General features: G+C 53.4%; 1 protein-coding gene across 10 annotated transcripts, besides 1 other annotated feature; it reads right to left on the bottom strand.

Moving 5' to 3' along the window:
• Window positions 1-202: 202 nt before the first annotated feature.
• On the bottom strand, window positions 203-23,952 carry ADGRG3 (adhesion G protein-coupled receptor G3). Of its 10 annotated transcripts, none has more exons than XM_047433780.1 (13): window positions 23,881-23,952; window positions 16,113-16,260; window positions 13,243-13,381; window positions 11,265-11,411; window positions 10,270-10,404; window positions 9,726-9,765; window positions 9,216-9,316; window positions 8,964-9,076; window positions 6,956-7,096; window positions 5,369-5,649; window positions 5,098-5,191; window positions 3,655-3,938; window positions 203-1,229 (listed from the first exon to the last, which is right to left on the bottom strand). In XM_047433780.1, the coding sequence occupies exons 2-13, from the start codon at window positions 16,205-16,207 to the stop codon at window positions 1,120-1,122; spliced, it is 1,680 nt and encodes a 559-aa protein (XP_047289736.1). In that variant the 5' UTR covers window positions 16,208-16,260; window positions 23,881-23,952; the 3' UTR covers window positions 203-1,119. The 10 variants fall into 10 exon arrangements, with proteins under 10 accessions (XP_047289736.1, XP_005255899.1, NP_740746.4 ...); XM_005255842.5 differs by lacking the exon at window positions 23,881-23,952 and adding an exon at window positions 21,176-21,275; NM_170776.5 differs by lacking the exons at window positions 6,956-7,096; window positions 23,881-23,952 and adding an exon at window positions 21,176-21,275.
• Window positions 11,868-12,808: an enhancer, noted in NCBI's record as "H3K4me1 hESC enhancer chr16:57710685-57711625 (GRCh37/hg19 assembly coordinates)". NCBI's record gives its function as "activates a minimal SCP1, AML or CMV promoter by ChIP-STARR-seq in primed H9 embryonic stem cells {active_cell/tissue: H9 hESC(primed)}" and the evidence as "EXISTENCE:reporter gene assay evidence [ECO:0000049][PMID:30033119]".

Here is a 23,964-nt window from a genome sequence, read left to right as displayed (position 1 = left end):
CTCTCTCCTTCTCTCCATCTCTGTATCTCTACCCCATCTCTGCTATCTCTGCCTCTTTTTGTTTCCTACTGAGAAACCTGCATGCGATTGTGACATGGAGCCCCAGCTGCTGGAAGTACCCTGCCCAACCTAGGTCTGGCCTGAGACACCCCCCTTGGCTCAGGGATCTGCCAGGCTGGTGCCAAACTCATACATCCACTCATTCAGCCAACAAATATTTATTCAAGGTTTGCCACGAGCCAGACCCTGTGCTTGGCCTGGGCTGGAACAGTAAGCGAGGCCACCCAGGTCCTTGTTCTCTAGGAGCTCAGGTCCTAGTGGCAATGCCCAGCCTCTGCTCAGGGGCCCCACACACTGAATGAGTGGGAGCACCCCCAGGTGTGCTGAGCCCCAGATTGTTTGCTTTCTACCTCTACGATGACAGCAGGTCAGAGGTCGGGCCACCCACGTGGCAGTCAGAGTCAGGAGTGGGGGGTTTGCCCAAGGTAGCTCACCCACTCAGTGGTTCTTTGAAATGCAGTGTCCCTGGACACGTGCAGGGCTGCCAGCACTCTGAACACGGGGGTCTCTTCCAGGAGGGTGGGCTCTGATTGGATGGGCAGAGACCAGGGGCAGACTGGGTGGGAGGATCAACTCCCACCCCCCAAAACAAACCCCCAGTGCCTGAGGGAACGCTGGCCTCCTGAATGCCCCTCAAGGTTACAGGCAGCCAGAAGGGGAGTTGTGGGAGGCCAGTGACAAGGAGGAGGAGGGGAGAGGCTGGGGGCTCCTTCCAGGGCTATGCCAGCAACAGACTCTCCTCCCTTGCTGAGACCAGAAGGTGAGTGAGGGCTTTGCAATGAGGGCAGGGCATGGAGGTGACTGTCACTCTTTGCTGGCAGGGGGTCTCAGGACTATAGGAACTTTAGAGCCTTGCAAACCTGCTTACGTGGACTCTTGGACCTATAGTTGGATCTGGATGGGACCTCTGATGCCACGTGGTCCAACCTGGTCCCATCCTCTCCCTCCCCAGCCACATTGTACAGAGAAGGAAACTGAGGGAGTACAGAGAGAGGCACGGAGCTGCCCAAGGTCACACAGAGAGCCAGAGCTGAGTCCATATTGCAGGGCCGTGCCTTCCTATTCTTGAGATGCGGAGTGGGCCTGGTCCAATCTTGCAGTAGAGGAGGAGACTGTGGTGCTCTGACTTGGGAGGTAAAGGATGGTGAACCAGCAGCAGATGAAGACACCTGTTAGGAAGGAGAGGCCTCGGTGAGCCTGGAAAGGGGTGGGCAGAGAGTGGGGCAGCCTGGGCTGGTGGCTGCTGAGAGGGAGGAGACCCACCGTAACCACTCAAGAACTGCTGGGAAAGGCAAAAATGCAACCATTTCACAACCATTTCAAAAATGAAATAAAAAAGAACCAAATCGAAATCTTGGAAATGAAAAACAGAGACCTTCAAATAAAATATCTACCTATGCCTATTACAGAAAAGAAAGAGCAAAATAGAGGAATTTTCAGACATACAAAACAACCATCACTCCCTCTATAAAGGATTATTATGGGAGGCACTCCAGCAAGAGGAAAAGGGAAAGTGTGGGGTGAAAGAAATTATAGTAAGTACAGAACATGACTTAGAAAAACTCTATGTTTCAAGGAAATCTGTAACTAAACCTCTATATGCAAGACAAATATTGAGAAGAGTTCAATGGGCAATTCAAGTATACCAAGGGCTCTGTTGTATTGGAGAGGAAGAGAGAAATACAGAATAACTCAGACCCAGTGGAAACTTAGTAGAGTGAAGTGTGCAGGCTTACATATTAAGGTAACCTCTGAAAGAATAACGATGTCAGCTATAGTTTCAAAGTTCATTTCTCCCCAACCATCAACCCCTGGGATTCTCCAGGCATGGACTCATGATTCTCCACCTGGAGACAGCCTCAGATGGCCTTACAGTCATAATTTCTATGATTATTAATATAGTTCCCACATATTGAAGACCTAGTAGTTCCCACATATGCATTGTCATTGTTCATTGTGAAATCTGGCAGGCCAGGCACAGTGGCTCACGCCTGTAATCCCAGCACTTTCGGAGGCTGAGGCAGGTAGATCATCTGAGGTCAGGAGTTTGAGACCAGCCTGACCAGTATGGTGAAACCCCATTTCTACTAAAAATTCAAAAATTAGCTGGGCATGGTGGCATGTGCCTGTAGTTCCAGCTACTCAGGAGGCTGAAACCAGAAGAATTACTTGAACCCAGGAGGTGGAGGTCGCAGTGAGCTGAGATCGTGCCACTGCACTCCAGCCTGGGTGACAGAGCAAGACTCCATCTCAATTAAAAAAAAAAAAAAGCTGGTGAGATAAGTACGGGATTATCCCAATTTCGCGATGAATGAGGACGGAAGGAGCTGAGTGACTTGCTGGGTCAGGGATGGGGCTAGGATTTGGACCCAGGGCTGCCTGGCCCTAGCCACTAAGCCACACATCTCTCATGGGGCGCTGGGAGCCAGTCCTGGTCTTGGGGGCTTATACCCGCTGCATCTAGGACGCCTGGGTTTCTAGTGACTTCCCTGAACAGGTTGAGTCTCGTCACTCCTGTCTTGGCTGTTTCTCTCACAGTCAGACTGTGATGCCTCTCTGGGCTGTGGATGTAAGGAGCAAAGAGAACACATATAAACCATAGCACATGGACTGCTCTTACCCCTTTGCTGGGATCTCAGAGGAAGGGCCCTGCGGGGGCCAGTAACAAATACAGCAAGCATTTCCTTCCTACCTCCATAGATCCCTGGAGATCCCATCCATGTCATGTGGACATCATATCACATGATTCTGCCCTTCTGGTCGCAGCTGATTGGACCAGAGATGGACGATGGACACCCAACTTGCAAGGTCAGGTAGGGTTACGGCAGCCATGTTGGGTAACAATTTGGGGCCATGGGTAGTAAAGGGTAAGTGGAGAGAGAATGAAGGAGTTTCCACAGACACTAGGTGAGAGACTCCATAGCTCCAGGAAAAAGATAGAGAACGTATCTGCTTTGGTTTGGGTGGCTTTTTCTGATTCTGGTAGCAGCTCCCATGAAGGCAGCTGATATGTCTGGGATGTTTGTTGCTTCCAAATCTCATGTCCAAATGTGATTCCCAATGTTGGAGGTGGGGCCTGAGGGGAGGAGATTGGATCCTTGGAGCGGATCCTCATGCATGGCTTAGCACTATCCCCTTGGTGATGAGTGAGTGCTCACTTGGAGTTCATGCGAGATCTCGCTGTTTAAAACGGCATGGTGCCTCCCCACTCCCTTGCTCCCACTCTCGCCATGTGATACGCTGGCTCCCCTTTATCTTCCACCATGATTGGAAGCTTCCTGAGGCCTCACCAGGAGCAGATACTGGTGTTGTGCTTTGTCTAAAGCCTGCAGAACCATGAGCCAATTAACCCCATTTTCTTTATAAATTACCCAGTCTCGAGTATTCCTTTGTATTCTAGTAACACAAACGGACTAATACAGCAGCCAAACTTTGCTGCCCTGGATCCTTGCTCTGAGTATTTGAAATCAACATCCTTGACTTCAGCTAGCCTGAACAGAGTCCTGTGTCTTGCAAACCACCCTCTTCCCCACCTCCCAATACCTCCTGGGACAGACAACACAGCCCATCACCTCCCTGGTGCAGGGGCCTCACCTTGCAAGGAGTTGAAAAGTGCAAAGATGTAGACGGTGGAGAGGCCCAACGGGGTGAAGATGGCCAACCCCCATGTCACACCCACCAGGCTCGAGAGGCCCAGCAGGGTGAGCACCTTCTTCCGGTTCTTCCCCCGCTCCTTGACCGCTGTAGCACGGGACAGGGTGAAGATCTTCCAGACCACCAGGGCCAGGACCACCATGCCAAAGAGGAAGGTGATGAGGAAGTAGCCGTGGACGGTGATATAGAGGGCGTACATGGTTGTCCCTTCACGGAACCAGCATCTGGAGGAGGGGGCAGCTGTGGTGGGACTGGGAGTGGTACCTCTGGCCAGCAAACCCAGGAAGTCCCCTGGCTGAGCTTTTCTGTCTGTGAAGGTGCCTCTCCCATTTCCACCCATCAATCCCTGGCTCTCCCGCTGTGGGAGGGGCCGTCACCTGGCTCCAGTCTGGTGTCTCTTTAATGCCAAAGTGACCTCAAAGACATGTTTCATTTGCCCCATATTACATTGTGAAAAAAACGGAATTAGTGGCCGCCTTTAAAATCAGAAGCTTTGGTATAAACACCTAGATTTCTGCTTCTCCTATAAAATCATACACCTGGCAGCTCTGTGGATGCCCTCCTGAAGGATAGTAACTGACCGCTAATTAGATGGGCTTGTGACTGCCAGTCCGCTGCAGTCCCCACCTGGCCCACTGCCTGCACCTTTGTGACCCCTCCAGCTCCTGGGGCCCCTGCTTTTGAGGCCTGGGGACAGGTCCAAGGCCTCACCAGCTCCTCTTAGCACAGAGCCATGGGCCCAGTGGTGGGTGCCCCATGGATCCCAAGGTGTGAGTCTAGAAACTGAACTCAGCTCCACTGCCCTCTGCACTGCAGGGGCAAAGGGCCTCAAAGAGCATGTTGATCAGTTCCCCCATGGTGCAGATGAGGAGACTGAGGCCCTGGGAGAGATCGGGCCTGCCAAGATCACACACATAGCAGGCAGGGCAGAGCCCAGACTAGACCCAGGGCTACTGTGAATCACTGGGCAGGTGGTGGCCTGAACAAGGACACCTGGCTGGGCAGCAGGTGGGGGCTGAAATCCAACACACCCTCCACTCTCCAGGCTGCGCACCCCGCATGCGGACGGGGTGACCTTCTTTACTTTGCCTCAAGGTGCCATGTGGGCTCGTGTTGGCCCAGGCTCAAGTAAGGCATCCTGCCTCCTGGTCCAGTTCTCCCTCTCCTTTCTCAGGCCCCCTCTCTCATTTCACTTCCCCTCTCTCTCTCTAGGCTTCAGTTTACTTCTCTGTGCCATGAGCTAGCTGGATCTGAGGATTCTTCTGGTCTTGACATATTTGGTCTAGATTTTCCTAGAAATCCCTCCTCTCCCCACCTCTCTCCAGCCCCAATATGTGTAGCCGGGGAGCTGGCATCACCCCTGCTCCCACAGCCGCCACTCACAGCTCCAGAGAGGTGCGGTTCTCCCTATCACGGATGGTGTAGAGGCCGTAGCTGTTGGCACTCCCAGTGCCGATGACCATCAGGGCGGGCAGGCCTGGGCACAAGGGGAAATGGCATGACACCACTGGGGCTTACTGGCACTTCCTCCTCCACGTCCCCTCCAGATGGCCATCCCTCCAGCTCTGGGAACCCCTCCTCTCTCTCCCCAAGGCTATTTCCCTCTGCACCCTCAGGGCCGGCCGTTTATTCTGTCCATCCAGGCAGCACCTACCCCAGCCCACCAGGCTCAGCTTCAGGAAGTAGTGCCCGAAGTAGGTGTTGAAGACCCTGACAGCGAGCAGGTAGAGGTGGAAGGCTTCAAGGCCCATCCAGGTGAAGGCACAGAGCAGGAAGTAGTGGAAGACAGCCCCCCGGGCCCAGCAGGCAGCATCAGACCCCTTTGAGCCACTCCCCACATTGACCAAGAAGGCCAGATTCAGGAGGAACAGGCTGCCACCCAGGGCCACGTGGATCTTTGGGGCATCTTCTGACTTGAACCTCTCCCGGGAAAGCCTGGGGTGAGAAATAAGAGGCCCCAAGGGGCCACAGCTCCCATGGGGAGCTCCCATGAGGCACCCAAGCCTGTCCACCCCAATAGCCTATGGCTCTCCACCCCCACTGCCAGCTCCTGCCTGCTCATCCAGCTTCCATCCCTGCCGGCAGCCAGAGTGGGAGTGTCCTGAGGTTCAAGTCCAGGAGCCTCTCATGGCCCACGGGGCCCTGTGGGTTCCGGATCCTGCCAGCCTCATCCCTTGATCAATGTGAGGCAGGATAATAGGGAAAATGAGGCCAGAAAATGAGGCAGGAGAATAGCAAAGGGAATTAAAAGTTGGATAAAGGGCAGAATAAGTAAAAGCAGAGAATAGAAGCACGGTGAATGGGACGGGTGAGCAAGAAGTGAGATGAAAAGCAGAGGTTCAGCAGGCAAGACAAAAGTGACATAAAAAAGGGACCCCGTGGCCGGCAAGATCCGGACCAAACCAGTAAGGGGCAGCTCTTCAGAGATGGGCATTTACATTAGAGAGAAAAAGTTTCTTTCACATAACCCTGTATGATAATTAGCTACTTAAGGTTCATGCATATGGGCTGCATATCATGCATGTACTTAAAATTATGGGATGGAGGTGACACACAAACGTACACGGGCCCAAAGTAACTGAGCAACACACCTATCAGTCAAAAGCCAGACACTGGCTAGAGATTAGGCAGCCTTGGGAAGAGAAGAAAAAAAACACCTGGAATGACCCAAACTATACCAAGGTGAGGCTGATCTCATTTCGCAGAGGTCAGCTCTTCCCACTGTTCTCAATGCCTTTCCCTGCTCCCCAGCTCCTCCCACCTTCTTTGCCTGACTCCTCTTCTTCTGCCTTTCAAATGCCCCTTGGAGGTTTCCTTCTGGGGAGGCCATCTCTGAATGCCCCTTAGCCTGAGCTGAACTGGACATTTCCCAGCAGCATAGTGTAACTCCCCATCCTCTCTCTCCTCGGGTCTTTCCCATGCTGTGAACTTCAGGCCTAACAGTGGTGGGACCAGGGATCCATTGGTGAAGTGGATGGACAGATGGGTGGATGCATGAAGCCGAAAATGCAGTAGGAGAGTGAGGCTTAGAGAGGGACGGGAGCCTTATGGGGTCACAGAGCAGGGCAGGGGCTCCAACCCTGGGCTCCAGACTCCCTGTCCAGTGACTCACCAGGCTCACCTCCCTCTCTCTGGAGCCCCCACTCTGAATTCTTAGCAAACCAGATCCAAAAGGGCTCTCAGCCGAGGGAGGGGAGCCGGGGGCTTCCTGGAGGAGCATCTGGGATCATGTCCACCTCACCTGAGATGCCAGGCCCCACCCTGGGGAGCTGGTGGTAATTTCTCCTGGCGCTCCAAGCCCCGCTCACAGGGTCCAGCAATGCGGCCAGCTGGCAAGTCACACTCGGCTTGTTGGGGATGGGGACCATGTCCTAGGCCAGGGCTTGGAGGGTGGGGGTGAGGGGCACCATTTACACTCATGGGTTGGTCTGTGATGGATTGGGTGGGCCTAGTTGGGGCTGCAGCCTAGGGCCAAATGCTGACACAGAGGCACGTGGAGAGGGCGGAGGGACGGCCCTGGATGCGGGGGCAGGAGACCCAAGGGCTGCTTTAGGCCACCCCCAGGGACCCCCAGGAGGCAGGGGACAGGACAAGCTGGAGCACTGGCAGCTCCCCTAGGCTCCTTCAAGCTGGCAGATCCTGTGGGTCCCTCAGCCATGGCCTGGGCCCAGGCTGCAGTGCTCTCTGCTGTTTCTGCCTGTCCTGCACTCACTCCCACCTCTTCTGGACACAGCCCCAGGTTTCCCTAAGGAACGCCCGTCCCCACTCTCATAAGTCAGGGGCCAGGGGTTCTTTGTTAGCTCAAACCCAAGAGCAGACACATGGCCTGGCCGGCCAATCTGTGTATTCCAGCTCTTGACCACAGTGACCCAGACAGGCATGGGCACATGGTCCAAGTTAGACCAGTAAGACTCAACTCTGGTGTATACACGGGATAAAACTGCATAGGCTGATATACACAGACATGCACACACATGCTCACACAGGGCCAGTTTCATGAGCATGTGACCTCTGTAGGACCCCATACGCAGAAGGACTTAATGTTCTACTGTCGCCATCTTGACATTCTTAAAATTTTTTGAATAAGGGGCCATATATTTTCTTTCTCTCTCTCTCTCTCTTTTTTTTTTTTTTTTTTTTGAGACGGAGTTTTGCACTTGTTGTCCAGGCTGGAGTGCAATGGTGTGATCTCGGCTCACTGCAACCTCCGCCTCCTTGGTTCAAGCGATTCTCCTGCCTCAACCTCCTGAGTAGCTGGGATTACAGGCGCGCACCACCACGCCCAGCTAACTTTTGTTTTGTATTTTTAGTAGAGATGGGCTTTCACCATGTTGGCCAGACTGGTCTCGAACTCCTGACCTCAGGTGATCTACCTGCCTCGGCCTCCCAAAGTGCTGGGATTACAGGCATGAGCTACTACGCCCAGCCTTCTTTATTTTCATTTTGGACTGGGCCAATCAAATGATATGTCCTGCGCGCACGCACGCGCGCACACACACACACACACACACACACACAGACACACACACAGACACACACATGAATGTACATAAAAAATGGTGAAAACTGAGCAAAGTCTGTATTCTAGTCAACAGTACTGTACCACCAGCTGCTGGTTTTGATATTGAACTACAGTTGTCTATGATGTATCCACAGGGGGAATCTGGGAGAACGAACCACAGGACTCTGCACTATTTTTGCATCTTTCTGTTTTATCTCAAAATAAAATCCTTCTCAATCCTGGGATTCATCTTAGAATACTTGGAAAGAGGAGATCTCTTTTATTTCTGCCTAAGCAGCTAAGGAGCTATGATGCAATCCTGAGGCAGCCAGGGCCCCTGAGGGTGGTAAAGCTGCCCGATGTGACTGTCAAGGGGCGAGCAAAGCTGTGAGAGGTAGAGGGAGACCAAGTTCTGGGGACCTCTTTTGACCCCCTGGATCGAACCCTGCCAGAAGTCCATGCACCTTGGGTTTTTCAATTACATGAACCCTATTTGCTATTTGCTATTCTCAGTTACGTGAACCACACATTCCCTATTATGTTTAAGCCAATTTGAGTTGAGTTTCTGCCACTTGCTCCTGAAATAGCTCTGACACATTTCAACCCCCAACCCCATTTTGGGATGAGGACACTAACGTGTGGAGGGGACAACGGTCAGAGGCTGCACAACCTGAATGCTTCCCACCCTGCCCTGCTGCCTCCCTTGAGGGCGGGAGGGAGACATGGTGGGGAGGTGGGGATCACTCACCTCAGAAAGGCATAAAGAATAATGGTGAAGGCCAGGAAGATCATGGAGACCCCACAGCCCGCCTGGGAGATGCGTGTGAGGATATGCACCGTGGACTGGTCCAAGGTGGGTCTCTGTGGGTGACCCCAGAACCGGGACCACGTCAGTTGGAGGCCAGGCCCATATACCCAAAGACCACCAGGCAGCCCCCTCCCCAGGGCAGGAGCTGGAAGCCCCTGGGATGGCTGGGATCAGAGTGGAGGGGGCTGTTACCAGGAGCAGGGCGAAAAAGGTCAGGTGGTCACAGCAGCACACGGTCCCCTCAGGTCTGACCTCCGTGGAGCAGCCCTCAGAAGACCAGTCTCCAGTGGTCCCTGGAGAGGAGGCCAGGGGAACAGAGGGAAAGGGAATATAGGGAGGGGAGGGCAAGGGAGGGGAGAGGAGGGGAACAGAGGGGAAGGGAATATAGGGAGGGGAGGGTAAGGGAGGGGAGAGGAGGTGAACAGAGGGGAAGGGAATATAGGGAGGGGAGGAGAGGAGAGGGGAGGGGAGGGGAGGGGAACAGAGGGGAAGGGAATATAGGGAAGGGAGGGGAGGAGGAAGGGGAGGTGAGGAGGGGGGGGAGGGGAGGGGAAGGGAGGGGATGCAGGGAGCAAAGAGGAGGGGAGGGGAGGGGAGAGGAAGGCAGGGGAGGGACTCAGCCAGTGGAGCTAGCCCCGCCCCACAATGCAGCCCATACCCTCCCTTCCTGTCTTACCCCAGAGAAGGTCCTCCGGGCCCTACCTTTAGTCACATCCCAGAATACACAGGTGAGGGTCATGTTCTGAAACCGAAGAGTGGAAGTCAGGAGAGAGGAAAAGGGAAGTTTGGGGGAGGGCAGGGGAAGCGGGAGGACGGTGTGCTCCCCCGAGTCCTAGTGTGAGTGTGCATTAGGTAGAAAGCAAGGTTCACACCCATGGGCCACACAGAAAAATTAAGTGCACCATTTGATGAGCCCTGGGCCGGCGTGTGAAGCGTGCGACTGTGGTGTGGGGCTGTGGGCAGGAGGGTTTGCCTGTCTGCATGCATGTGTGCGTGTCAGGGGAGCATGGGTGTGGAGGATGTGGAATGCCATGTGTATGCAGGTGGGCTTGCCAGGTCCTCATGTGCACCTCTATGGTGTGTGGCCTTGGATCCAATTATGTGTATGGCCCTAATGGCTCCTCCTGGGCGACTGTGGAAGGGTAGGGGACAGATATGTAGTGTCCCATGCAGGGCCCATGGGCCCAGGTGTGCCCACTCGCCTGTCTGCCCTGCAGTGGCTGCCAGGCCTGAGCAGGGGACTCACAGGGGGCGGTCGCTGGTGAGAGAAGACGATCTCCAGAGGCTCAGCCAGCTTGGTGACATGCATTTGTCCCACACTCAAACCCACCAGGCGATTGTTCAACACGCCGCTGCCATCTCCCAGGCCGAGCCGGGGGCCCTGTGAAAGGGGAGATCGGGGAGGCCAGGCTGCAGAAGGGGCCATCCCAACCCACCAACGCTGGGGTTCCTAGGAGCCTCCAGGAACCCATGGCCTTTGCTTGGAGGGCAGAGTTCGAGACCAGGGGACCAGGGAGCCAAGGAGTCACAGGCAGCCTCCTCCCTGCTGCTCCCAGTGGTCTCCTGCTTGGGCTGGGCCAGGTCAACTGGCTGCAAAGCTGTGCACCTGACAGCTCTCCATTGCTGGCCTCCAGAGCTCCTCTGCCCTCTTAACTAGAGGGGGCATGGGGCCAAGATCAGCCAAGAAATGGAAGTCAGCGGGGAGGATAGCGTGCCCCTGAGGGTCTTAGCGTGAGTGTGCATTCGGTAGAAAGGAGGCTGGTGGGGGGAGCACACTAGCCCTCAGGGGTACACACGTCTGCACAGGAGTGGATGCACACCTCTGGGTGCACATACCTGGTATACACATGTGCAAGGGCATGGGTACACTTGCTCGTGTGGATATGATCACAGCTGAGTACATGGGCTTGTGCGTGCACAAGAATAGAAAAGGATGTGCATGTTTGTGCATGCACGAGGACACACAGAGCACACGAGCACCCACAGGACACATAGACAAGCCAAAGGGCACTCATGTGTGGGGGTCAAACATCTGAGAGCGTGTGACCAGTGTGAGTCTGAAGACCATAGACTCTAGTGACAGGTGTCTGAGATGGCCACGGGCTGCATTAGAAACACTAAGAGGCTCACTGCCTGCTCTGTCCCCATTGGATCCCTCGGCAGGCTCCAGTGACAGCAAACTGTGGCATGGAGCCCCCAGAGGACCTAGCACTTAACCTTGGAGCTTCCCTGAGTCCTCACCTTGAAGAGAGTCCCTGGACCAATGTCCAGAATGGTGACGGCCAAGCGGACCACAGACCTGTTGCCTGGCAGGGATCGAAAAAGGCTCTTGGGAAGTCGCACTCTGTCAGGGGGCTTGTCCTCGTCCTTCATCACCTGCCTCGGAACCTACAACCACAGACACAGCAGCTCCCATCTGTACCCACCCCCCAACACGAGTCCTGCCACTCCCCCAGCTGGGAGGGGAAGCAGGCACACTGGGTAGGGGGCAGCACCTGGGGACTGTCAGCTCTGAGAGGCAGGACACCTGGGGCACAGTGCAAGCTCTGCTCCTCACAGGCTGTGCATCCCTAGACAAGTTATAGCCCTTGTGGAGCCTCGGTTTTCCCAATACAGAGAGTAGAGCTAAGCTTGTGCCTGTCTGGGCACCTGATGCCTGGGCAAGCTGAATGTGCAAGTATGAGGACGGCTGGAGGGCATGTGCTTTTGGCCAGGGCCCTAACAGTCCCAGTGTTTACACAGGGCTTGATTGTGACAGTGTCTGGCTTCTGACTCAGGAATAAATGGAAAGAATAAAACCGTCAGGAAGGAAGTTCAGGAAGCGAGAGAACAAGGGCAGAGAGGGAGGACACACACGTTTACTCTGAATGTCAAATCCTCCCCGCCCAACAACAACAACACATTTTCAAAAAACAAAGAATCGTCAGAATATTGAAATACATTTCAGTGGTCATTGCAAAGCATTTGTTTTTTTTGAGATGGAGTCTCATTCTTGTTGCCCAGGCTGGAGTGCAATGGCGCTATCTCAGCTCAGTGCAACCTCCGCCTCCCAGGTTCAAGCGATTCTCCTGCCTCAGCCTCCCAAGTAGCTGGGATTACAGGCATGCACCACCATGCCCAGCTAATTTTGTATTTTTAGTAGAGACAAGGTTTCACCATGTTGGCCAGGCTGGTTTCGAACTCCTGACCTCAGATGATCCGTCCGCCTTGGCCTCCCAAAGTGCTGGTATTACAGGCGTGAGCCACTGTGCCCGGCTGCAAAGCATGTTTCATTCATTCTCTGAGCTCCCTGTTCCCCTAAGGGCTACAGCCTGACCCACCCAGGGCCTGCCTCAGAAACACCCCATGCACATTGGCACAGGGGGTTTATGGCTGGAGCTGAAGGCCCCAACTTTCTCCTTCCCAGTCCAGACTCCCAACGAAAGGACATGTAGGTGATTTCTGGGGCCAGTACATAACCCCTGCAGAGGGCTCAGCTGCTTGAGTGACATAATAAAGGGTTGAGAAAGAATCTCTCTTCCATTCCCCTTTCTCCAGACAAACCTAAAAGTACCTCAGTGCTAACCAACTCACCTTGCTGCCTGAAGTTCCACCACCACATCCATTTCTTCCAGAAGGCAGGAGGCTTTCTAAGCCCTCACTATCCCAAGCATTCCCTGTGCATTATCTCATTTGCTCCTCTCATTCATCTTTTGTTTGTTTTGTGTTTTGTTTTGTTTTCGTAGAGATGGACTCTCACTGTGTTGCCCAGGCTGGTCTAGAACTCCTGGCCTCAAGCCATCCTCCTACCTCAGCCTCCCAAAGTGCTGAAATTGCGGGTGTGCACCACTGCACCTGGCCATGTTAATCTTGAAAGTGGGCAATACCTTCATCTTTTTATAGACAGAGAAACCGAGGCTCAGAAAAGTAATTTGCCCATGATCACAATGGCTGGTGAAGGGCAGAGCTGGGATTTGAATCCAGACCAGCATAAACCCAGAGTCTGTCCATCGAACCCTTTACCTCATTTCAAATATGTTCCCTCAGTAGAGGAGCTCACGGAAATTTTAGGCTTGGAGGAATCTTAGAGCTCATTTTACAGACGCAGCTCTGCCAATTGGGACGTGGGGGAGGGACAAGCCCTAGTTATATCACAGGATATAACTCTCTTAGAGTTTTGAAATATACGTCCAAGAAAAATAGGGTCCGAACCAGCCAAGAGGGCTGGGGAGCTCTTCACCTGAGAGGGCTCCAGAGAGAAATAGAAGTCTTCTGCAGTGTTGGTGCTGAGGTTCTGGACCAAAGCCTTCAGGAAAGGCGTGTTCACCTTCTGCGTCAAACCTTCCTTCATCAGATGGGCCTCGTAGTTTAGCCAGTATCTGCAAAGGGCCAGGGATGGGGGGAGGGTAGGATCCTGCAGGCTGAGTTACTCACTCATCAGGCTCCTGGGGTGAGAGGGCTGACCCAAACTATCAAAGTAAAGACCCTGGGATCAGGACAGGAGGAAGAAAAGTGGCTTGGGGGCCGTCCAGGCTGCTCCTGCAGAATTCCAGCTAGGCGTCCCTCTGAGTATTTTATGTGTTTGTCTTTTTTTGTGCATATGGTAAAGTACACATAGCATAAAATTTACCATTTTAACCATTTTAAAGTGTCCAATTCAATGGCATCAAGTAAGTCACAATGTTGTGCAACCGTCACACTACCTAGTTCCAGAATATTTCATCACCCCAAAGGAAACCCGTACCCATGAAGCTCTCCCTTCCCCCTTCCCCCAGCCCCTGCAATCACTAATCTGCCTTCTGTCTCTGAGTTTGCCTGTTCCAGATAGCTCACACAAATGGAATCATACAACATGCAGCCTTTTGTTTCTGACTTCTTTCACTCAGCATAATGTTTTCAGGGTTCATCTATGTTGTAGCATGTATCAGTATTCCATTTTATTTTATTTTTGAGACTGTCTCACTGTGTCACCCAGGCTGGAGTGCAGTGGCACAATCTCAGCTCACTGCAACCTCCGCCTCCCGGGTTCAAGCGATTCTGCTGCCTCAGCCTCCCGAGGAGCTGGGATTACAGGTGTGAGCCACCACACCCAACTAATTTTTTTGTATTTTTAGTAGAGAAACATGGGGTTTCACCATGTTGGTCAGACTGGTCTCGAACTCCTGACCTCAAGCGATCCGCTTGCCTCGGCTTCCCAAAGTGCTGGGATTACAGGCATGAACCCACTGCACCTGGCCCTATTTCTTTTTTTAAATTATTTTTTGTAGAGTCGGTGTCTCACTCTGTTGCCCAGGCTGGTCTTGAGCTCCTGGCCTCAAGTGATCTTCCTGCCTCAGCCTCCCAAAGTACTGGGATGACTTTGGGCACGAGCCACAGTGCCTGGCCCCTGTATTTTATTTCTTTTTATGGATGAATACTATTTCATCATATGGAGAGATCATATTTTAATTATGCCGTTATCCATTGAGGGACATTTGGGTATTTTCCTCTTTTTTTTTTGGCTACTGTGAAAAGTGCTGCTACAAATATTCACGTACAAGATGCTGCTGCTGCTGCTGCTGCTGCTTTTTTTTTTTTTTTTTTGAGATGGAGTCTCACTCTGTCGCCCAGGCTGGAGTGCAGTGGAGTGATCTCAGGTCACTGCAACCTTTACCTCCTGGGTTCAAGCAATTCTCCCACCTCAGCCTCCCGAGTAGCTGGGATTACAGGCGCCTGTCACCAAGCCTGGCAATTTTTTTTTTTTTTTTTTGTATTTTCAGTAGAGACAGGGTTTCACCATGTTGGCCAGGCTGGTCTCAAACTCCCGACCTCAAGTGATCTGCCCACCTCGGCCTCCCAAAGTGCTAGGATTACTTGTGTGAGCCGCCGTGCCTGGCCCATGTATAAGCTTTTGTTTGGAGACTTGTTTTAAATTCTTTTGGGCATATACCTGGGCAGCACAAAGAGGAGCCTCTGAACAGCTCTGGGGTGCTAAGAAGCTCCTGGATCACCTGCAGGTGGGAATGGAAGCCTTTTCAGGCCACTGAAATAACATGATCCAATGAGATGGCTGTCCTAACACCAAGCCTGAGAGCGCAGGGCTTTAACTCATTCCTTTAACACATATTTATTAAGTACTAATGTAAGCCACGTGCTTTTCTAGGCATCCCAGAAGAGTTATGGGCAACTTTGATTAGGAGTGGGAAAAGGAAAGAGAGGCAGAGATATTTTTGGAGATGGCTCCTAAAGATGTTGTATTCTAAACCCCTTCATTTCCCTCACCCCCACATCTAACCAGTCTCTTGTCTTACGGAGTCTACATCGTATCATCTCCCCAATCCATCTCTCCTTTCCAAGCACGCAATGCCAATTGCTGCTAGTGGTGCTGACTTGGCCCTCACTCCCACCCAGACCCCTGTGATGCATCCTACTGGGTCATGTCTTCCTGCATCACCGGTCCCTGAAGCCTGAGCAATCATTCCAAAACGCAGAGTTGACTATACTCTCCCTGCGCTTAAAATATGTCATTGCCCTGCCGCCCTCACCCATTGGTATAACTTACACAACCCTTCACACCTTAGTCTCTGCTTATATTTCCAGTCCTATCTCCCACCCATCGCATCTGCCCATTGTCTCTTCCATCCCCACGCGGTTTACATTGTTACAGTTCAAAGCATTGCAGTTATCCCCCATTACTTTCAAGTTCTGTTGCCTGTATCCTCACCATTGTTTAGATCCAGCTGGAAAACTCCTGTGCACCCTCAAAGCCCTTTCCAGGTTTCCTCCTCTGTGAAGCCTTGGCCAACTTCCCTCCTCTGGGCTAACCTGGCACCTTGTCTGCCATTCTGTATACACTCTGGAGTCATCATTATTTGGGTCTGTGTCTGTCATTCCACAACTCCCAAGGGCCAGGATAGGAGTGGATTCATCTCTGAATACCCTAGATCAGTAGGTACCCCAACTGCTAGAATGGGGATGTTGGGTCAGGGGGACTGTGGTGTCAAACAAGGTGGAAGAGTCAGATGGGAGCAACATTTTCTGGGGCCATGGGGGAAGATGGCCCCATCCCTTCCTGATAGTCCTCCTCCCAGCAGCTTCAGATTCCCCCTCCAGCTCAGGGGGCCCCCTCACCTCTGCAAGTTTTCCACATTGCAGGAGTCGCTGCCCGACTGCCTGCACTTGGTGAAGCACAAAGCCTTGTCATTCAAGTTGAAGATGTCGTACATGTTGTTGCTCCCCAGGCAGGTGTTTCTTGGCCCTTCGGTGGGCTTTTCCTGACCTAAGGAAGGAATGCAGAGAGTGTGAATGGGCTGGACGAAGATGGGCAGCAAGGATGAGGAGCAGGGAAAGGAGCTGGGGCTCCAGAGTCTGGTGGTTGGGCTAGAATTCCAGCTCCATGCATCACACTAACGGTGCACTTGAGCAGGATGCAGACCCTCTCTGGGGCTGTTTCCAAGGTAAAAGCAAATACCCCATCTCCCAGGGCTGGTAGGATGCTTTGGGGAAAGCATGTACAAAAGGCTTGGCACATGGCTCTGTAAATAAAAGGTTTCATATGTTTGTGCTATTACTCCTTTACCCCTTCCTCCAGGGAGTCTGCCTGGCTTTTCAGTTATTCCACATCAGACCTTCCAAAGCCCTTGCAACTGTGGCCTCCTGGTTAAACTCTTGGATGTATTCTGTCTTGGTTTGCCTCATTCTCCCACATTCACACTATCTTATTTGTGTAAATTTAAAAAATGATGTATTGGCAGGGCGTGGTGGCTCACACCTGTGCTAAGAAGCACACACAACCATCACAGCTACCTCCTGGGACAGGTAGAAAATACAGCAAACCAAGGCCCCTCGAGCAAAATGACTTGAGAAAGGTTACTAGCTAGTTGGAGGCTGCTCCAGGACTAAAGACCAGCTTTTGTGACTTTTAGTTCGGTTCCCTTTCACCTAATACAGGGCACAAAATGGAAGCTTTGGGTCATCTACTAACTGTATGTCCTGAGGCAAGTTACTTAAACAACCTGAGGCTCAATCTTTTGCCAGCAAAATGGAGCTAATAATACATTCCTTGCAAGTTTTGGGAAGGATTAGAGATAAAGGACATACATAGCTCATTGTAGGTGTTCAAAGAGTTTACCATCTTTAACGGTTTATTGCACAGCCTTCTGGAAATTTTGCAGAAGGTATGCATATGCAAGTATTTATAAGTACATCATTTTTTTAAGGAAAAAATGTTTTAATTAAGAAGAGGGGGTTCTCACTATGTTGCCCAGGCTGGTCTCGAACTCCTGTCCTCAAGCGATCCTCCTGCCTCAGCTGCCCAAATTGCTGGATTACAGGTGTGAGCCACCAAGCCCTGCCGATACATCGTTTTTTAAATTTACACAAATAAGATCACTTAACAATATATCTTTTTTTTTTCTTTTGAGACAGAGTCTTGCTCTGTCACCCAGGCTGGAGTGCAGTAGCATGATCACAGCTCACTGCAGCCTAGACCTCCCAGGCTCAATCGATCCTCCAACCTCAGCCTCCCAAGTAGCTGGGACTACAGGCACATGCCACCATGCCTGGCTAGTTTTTCCTTTTTTTATGTTGTTTATTTTTATTTTTTTAGAGACAGGGTTTTGCTGTGTTGCCCAGGCTGATCTCAAACCCCTGGGCTCAAGCGATCCGCTCACCCTGGCCTTCCAAAGTGCTGCGATTTATAGGCATGAGCTACCACGCTTGGACTAGCAATATATCTTGAAGAACTTTTCCACCTCATTCTTTATATAGTTGCAAACTATTCCATTCCATGGGCATTGCAACACTTTTTTAACCGGTCCCCTCTTGGTGGACATTGTTTTTCACAATCTGCCATAAGAATTCTTGAGTGTGCATCTTTTCAGCTTGTGTTGAGAACTCATAGAAAACATTCCTATCTTAGGACTTTCTGTATCTAACTGTATGTGCTTTAAAACACCGCCAGGAAGGCTGAGTGCGGTGACTCACGCCTATAATCCCAGCACTTTGGGAGGCCGAGATGGGTGGATCACCTGAGGTCAGGAGTTTGAGACCAGCCTGGCCAGCATGGGGAAGCCCTACTAAACATACAAAAATTAGCCGGACGTGGTGGTGGGTGCCTGTAATCTCAGCTACTCAGAAGGCTGAGGCAGGAGAATTGCTTCAACCCGGGAGGCGGAGGTTGCAGTGAGCCAAGATCACACCACTGCACTCCAGCTTGGAAGACAAAGAGAGACTCTGTCTCGAAAAAAAAAAAAAAAAAAAAAAAAACTCCTATTCTAGGACTTTCTGTATGTGCTTTAAAAAACTGCCGGGTATTATTGAATTTCCCTCCAGAAAATGGTGTACCTATTTATACTCTCACTCAAAGTGGATAAGAGTGACTATCCACATGCCTATTATTCTATAGCTTACTGAACTTTTGGATTTTTGCTAGTCTGAGGGATGACATTGAATCTTATTTCCATTTAAGGAGTTTGAGCATCTACCTGTATATCTGCGGCCACTTTTATGTCTTTTACTCTGAAGTGCTTTGTTGTATCCTTCTCCCTTTGAGGGTGGGAAGTGGGTCTTGGCTCTGCATTGTCACTTTTCGGATTGCCACCCCCAGGAAGTGTTAGGAGAGCTCCCTCTGCGATGGGTGGTGCTGGGGGCTGAGGCGGGCAGGGGCTCATCTGCTTTCCATTTTTTATTTCCCTCCCTGGTATTTGATTTTTTAAAAATCATGTCCAGTATTACTGTCACATTTTTTAAAAAACTGTTCATTTTTAATCATTAAGACAAAAAAGACATGATAAAAATAATGGCTGAATAAAGAGTAACAGCAGGGTAAAAAAATAACATTTTAGAGGGGATTTTGTAATAATGGACTCTATATGTGATAATTCGTTTTAGATAGTTTATAAAGGAACTGTAAATTTCTGTTAGTTTATAAAGATATTTATGATGCATTGTTTAATGGGAAATGAAAATGATAGATGAGCATGAATATAGTATGATCTATGTTGGCTTTTTAAAAAAGGGGAGAAGAGGGAGAGGAGGAAGAAGACAGAAACAGGGAGAGGGAAGAGAGGAGAGGGGAGGAGGGGTTGAGAGGGGAAGGAAGAGGACAGGAGAGGAGGGGAGATAACATTGTCAGCTTGAGGACGGGTGCCATTCTCTGCCATCCCGGCCCTGCTGTCATGAATGGGTCCAGGTGCAGGCCTCCCTCCCGGATTGCCATGAATTTCAGCGCAGGCATGTAAGTGAAGCTCTTGGCAAGCACCCTACACAGACAGGATCATTAAATATCTTTTCTGTGTTTATTCTTTGAAGACACTGCAAGCATTTCATGTAGACAAGGAGACCCTGTGCTAGGCCTGTGGGTGGGATAGCACTCCCCTCCTCTCCAGACCCTCTATGCTCCAGAGCCTGGCCTCCATGGACTGCCTCATTTGGGGGTCAGCAAGTGGAAAGTGGACTGGAGGTCAGAGGGCAGGAGGAGGGCAGAGTGGGCATTTGCCCCCACCCCGCATGGCTCCTTCAGCCCCTGCTGGCTCACCGTGAGCAAACCACCGCCATTTCCCTCCTGTAGCCACAGTCTGGCTGTAGAAGCCCAGGGGGCCACTCCCTCCTGGCCCCTTTAGACCTCACGGTGCTGAAGGCTGCCCCAGGTGCCAGCCTGCCCAGTGACCACCCTCCTTGCTCCCCGTGCCCTGCCCGCACCTTTGTCACGTGTCCCTTCATGCCAGGCCCTCCATTGCATCCACCCCTTGCTCAGCCCTAACAGCTGGGTCTCACATGCGAGCCCCCACCACACTGTGTCACTCCTGCAGACTGTGAGCCTTTTGAGGGCAGGGGCCAAGTGGTACCAGCAGGAGCAGAGGGCACCATCGATGCTTCCTGAATGAATGAATGAATGAATGAATGCGCAAATGGAGAATGGAGACTAACACATCACTGTCCACACAGGAAGTGTGCAGACCTTCCTGTGTGTAGACCTCTCAGAGCTCCTTGCTCAATCAAATGGCTGCTGCTCTGCCCCAACCAGAGCACCCACATCACCATGGGGGAAACAGCATCACCTGGAGGAGGCTTGAAGGCCCAACCAGCGATGACAGCTGGGACCTGAGGACGCCCATGAGCCCTGGTCACAGCTGCCATCGGTGGCTCCGTTCATTCATCTATCAAGGGCTGCCTGGTGGCCTGCTCTGTACCAGGGCCTCCCGGGGCCACTAGGAGGACAGTGCTGTCATCTCCCACCCTTTTTTGAGCCAGGGACTGATTCACTCCACTGAATCTTCCAATGTTTGAAAAGAAGAGGGTTATTTGAAGACCAAATAAGTTGATCTATGTGGCCAAAGTCACGCGACCACACGCTGGACACACAGGGAGATGGACATGCAGGCCCCTCACCGAGTCAGGAGCAAAAAGAGAGTGGCCTGCAAGGCCCTGAGACAGGAGCACTGAGGAGGGAGCACTAACGGGGGAGCACCTCCCTCTGTCCGAGAGGGTTGCTAAGACGCCACAGAGGCCAAGAAGGGTAAATGGAGCTGGCTAAGTGGGCAAGGGGTAGGGGGACAGCTTTCCTGGGAGAGAGGCCAGCAAAGGCAAGGCCCGGGCACTTCCATGGCCTCTGGAGACGCACCATGTGTTTGTGTGTGAGACGGGAGAGTGACGGGGAGGAGTGTGGATCCTGGCTCAGGCCACTGAGGACCAAGAGGTTGTGGCTGAGACTGGGAGAGGGAGCCGGTGTGGGGTGACATGTGCGGGAGGAGAGGTCCAGAAGAACGAGGTGACAGACCTTCCTGGCCTCAGCTTCCAGAGTGTCTGAATCCCGTCCCCAGGATCTCACAAGCCAGCTGGAGAATTGCCTGCCCGGGGCCAACCCCTGTCTCAGAGCCAGGCCTGTCAGGGAGACACAGCCCAGGTTGGGGAGTCAGGGAGCACCCTCCGACCTCCCCTATCTCCAGGGCACTGTGGAGCAACAAAGGGAACCTGAGACCAGTCCTGAGCAAGGTTTAGTGGAAGGACAGGACTGACCCAAAGGGACAGGGCTAGAGAAGGTGCTGAGGCGGCCACGGGGGGTATCGGAGGACACATCCCAGACACCCCAACTCCTCACCTTCTCCAGTCCCTGCGTCTGTCCCTGGATCCCTCCCTCGGCAGGGCAGGGTCGGCCCAGCGTGGCAGGAGGGGATGAGGTGCCAGCCACTCACCTGAGGTCGGGAGCAGGAGGAGCAGGAGCAGGGCCCCCAGGCCCCTGGGCGTCGCCATCCTTGGCCAGCCTTGCCCACGCCAGGAGCTCTGTGGCTGTCTGGCCCTCTGGCCCCAGGCTCTGCTGAGCTGGCCTGCCCCCACCCTGCAGCCCCACCACTCTGGCTTCCTGTGTCCTCTTTCTCACCCTTCCTGCTCGATGGCGCCATTGGTTGGGTTGTGAAAGGTGAGTGTGGGGAACTGGGCAGTGCTCCCAGTCTCACCGCACCCTGGGTCCACCTGCAGAGGGAGCTGCTGAGCCCACCCAGGTATGTGCCCCCGGGGCCCCACTGGGGTGGGATCTACGGGGCTAGGGGCTGGGTGGCCACAGGGGCCTGGCTCAGAGCGGATCCCTGGGAACTGTGGTGAGCACAGGCTTTGGAGTCAGGCGCACCTACTCAGACCCCTCCTCTCACAAGCTGGGAGCCTCTCTGAGCCTCAGTTTCCTCCTCTGTAAAGTGAAGATGGCAATGGGGCTGCCTCCTAAGGCTGTGTCAGGGTTTGATGAGACCTGCAACAAGCTGGGCACAGAGCCTGGCTCTGGGCATGAGGACGAAGACCCAGATGGTGCCTATGGCTTGAACCAGGCTGGAGGGTGTGGGAGGAGAGCAGGAGCTGGCCCTGCAGCCTGAGCTTCCCCCACCAGCCTGGATAACAGGACGGACCCAGAGGCAGGGTAGCGGGAAGACAGCAGTGCGGCCCCGGGGGCTGGTCAGGCCTGAGCTAACATCCATCCTGGCCACTTCCTGGCCGGGTGACCTTGCATGCACTGTCTGTCACCCTGAGCCTCCCGAGGTGTGTGATGAAATCATGGATGACGCAGGCGGAGCCGCCTGTGGCCATTACATCATTTCTGATCATCAGAGCTGTGAAATTGTTGTCTTTACACCCCAAATGGTCACTGATCAGGTGGGAGGTGGGGGTGGCAAACACTCCTGGGCTTCAGCCTAAAGGAATTAGGGCGCCAGCCACTCGGGCCAACTCTGGAGGCCCCACGGATGCACTGTGCATGAGGCCATGGCCACTTGGCAATTGGAAGGTGAAGGGCATCCCACCAAGGTGTGTGGTTGCTGGCATCCCCCTCTGGCCCACGGGGCTGGCACTAGCCCTACTCAGCCTTGGGATTGAACTGGGGAGCCGCTCAGCCCCTGCTGGCCTCCATTTCCTCCTCCTCCCACTCAGTGTCTCCTGCTGAGCCCTCTGGGTCTGGGAAGGGGTAGGGAGGGGATGTCAGGGTCACTCATGGTGTGGGAGCAGGTGGGAATTCAGCATGGAGCAGCAGGTCAGAGCCCAGGGCTTCCTGAGCCCCAGAAACTTCCTCTGCAGGGAGGGCTGCGAAGGCAGATGAATGGCTGGGCCTGCCACTGCTCCACACCTGGCCAGCCTTCTCCTGGAAGATCTGCAGACCTCCCTCCCAGCTGCAGGTGAGGGTGAGGTGGGGCAGTGGACTTGGATGTGCTGGGCCCATCGCTGAAGCCCCATCCTGGCACCTGGGCCCTCAGAGAGGCTCGCAGGTACCAGTGTGTGAAGAAGCGCCTGGGGGTGAGCAGACTGAGATTCCGAGCAGCCAGCCCACCTGGGAAGTGGGCAGAGGGCAGGTGCAGGGGAAGGTCAGGCAGGGCTGGAAGGAGGGCCACCTTTTCCTAAGGCCCCTTCCCTGAAACGCCCCCTGGGGACCAGGGACTAGCCTGGAGCCACTCACAGAACCCTGAGACCCCCCCCAACCCCAGGGCCAACAAAACAGTAGTGTCCCTTCCTGCCGCCTCCTGCCCCAGCTTCTCCCAATGGCTCCAGTGGGCAGGGCCTCAAGTCCTCCAGCGAGACCCAGCCAGCATTCAGCCCTCAGCTGCTCCAATCCATTTCCCAAGCTAAAGGGATGTTTCCAGATGCACGCCTGGCCACATGCTGGCAGAAAGGGCGATCCCACTGTCCAAAGCCCCACAGCCTGGGAAAGTGCATGATAATAACCATCGGGGTAAAAGGATCAGCATGGAACTGTTGGTGCCCTGTGCAGGGCCTACCTGAGAAGGTGAGACCCAACCCAAGACCCCTCCCCACTACCTGAGCCAGCCTCAGATGCAGAAACAAAATGTTTGAGAAGCAGGAGAATTGCGGAGGAACGGGGCTGGGTCATTTCCCCCCCATTCTGGAAGATGGGGGGAGTTGCCTCAACCCCCATCCCAGGACCTAGCCCAGCCATGGGGCTCTGAGAGACCCCCCTCACGGAGACCTAGAAGCCTGTAAGGAGGGAAGCTGGCTTTGATCCCCCGGGGCTGCCCAATCCGGACACTGGGGTAGGGGAGGCTTGGGAAGGTTTGGCCTCTGTCCTTTGGAGCTGGGGGCATAAGAGGAGCCCCCCACCTGCAGAAAGGTGGGGACAGAGGTCAGTGGAGGGAGTGGAGGGGGTGGAGGGAGGGCTGGGAGAGCAGCAGGGCACAGGGGTTCTTGGTCCCTGCAGGTCCCAAGATCCCACATTCACGCCCCTCAGAGGGCACTGCCAGTCTAGACCCAGCTGCCTCACACCCACCTTGTCCAATCCAAGACTCTGAGCCTCTTCCCCTGCTGGGCATCCCCCTAGAGTGGCCAGGGGAGGAGGGAGGAGCCTGCAGAAGGGAGAGAGTGGACTGTGGGCCTTGGGGAGGACTTTGGCTGCACTGGGACCTCTTACCTGAACACAGTAGCAATGATCCGTTGTGACTGCCCTCATCACAGGGAAGATGGGAACCTGCGTGATCTGCCTCACCTGGGCCTT

Source organism: Homo sapiens, chromosome 16, assembly GCF_000001405.40.
Source record: "Homo sapiens chromosome 16, GRCh38.p14 Primary Assembly".
Taxonomy (NCBI): domain Eukaryota; kingdom Metazoa; phylum Chordata; class Mammalia; order Primates; family Hominidae; genus Homo; species Homo sapiens.
The sequence above is the reverse complement of the archived record's forward strand: the minus strand, read 5'-3'. Positions and strand labels throughout refer to the sequence as shown.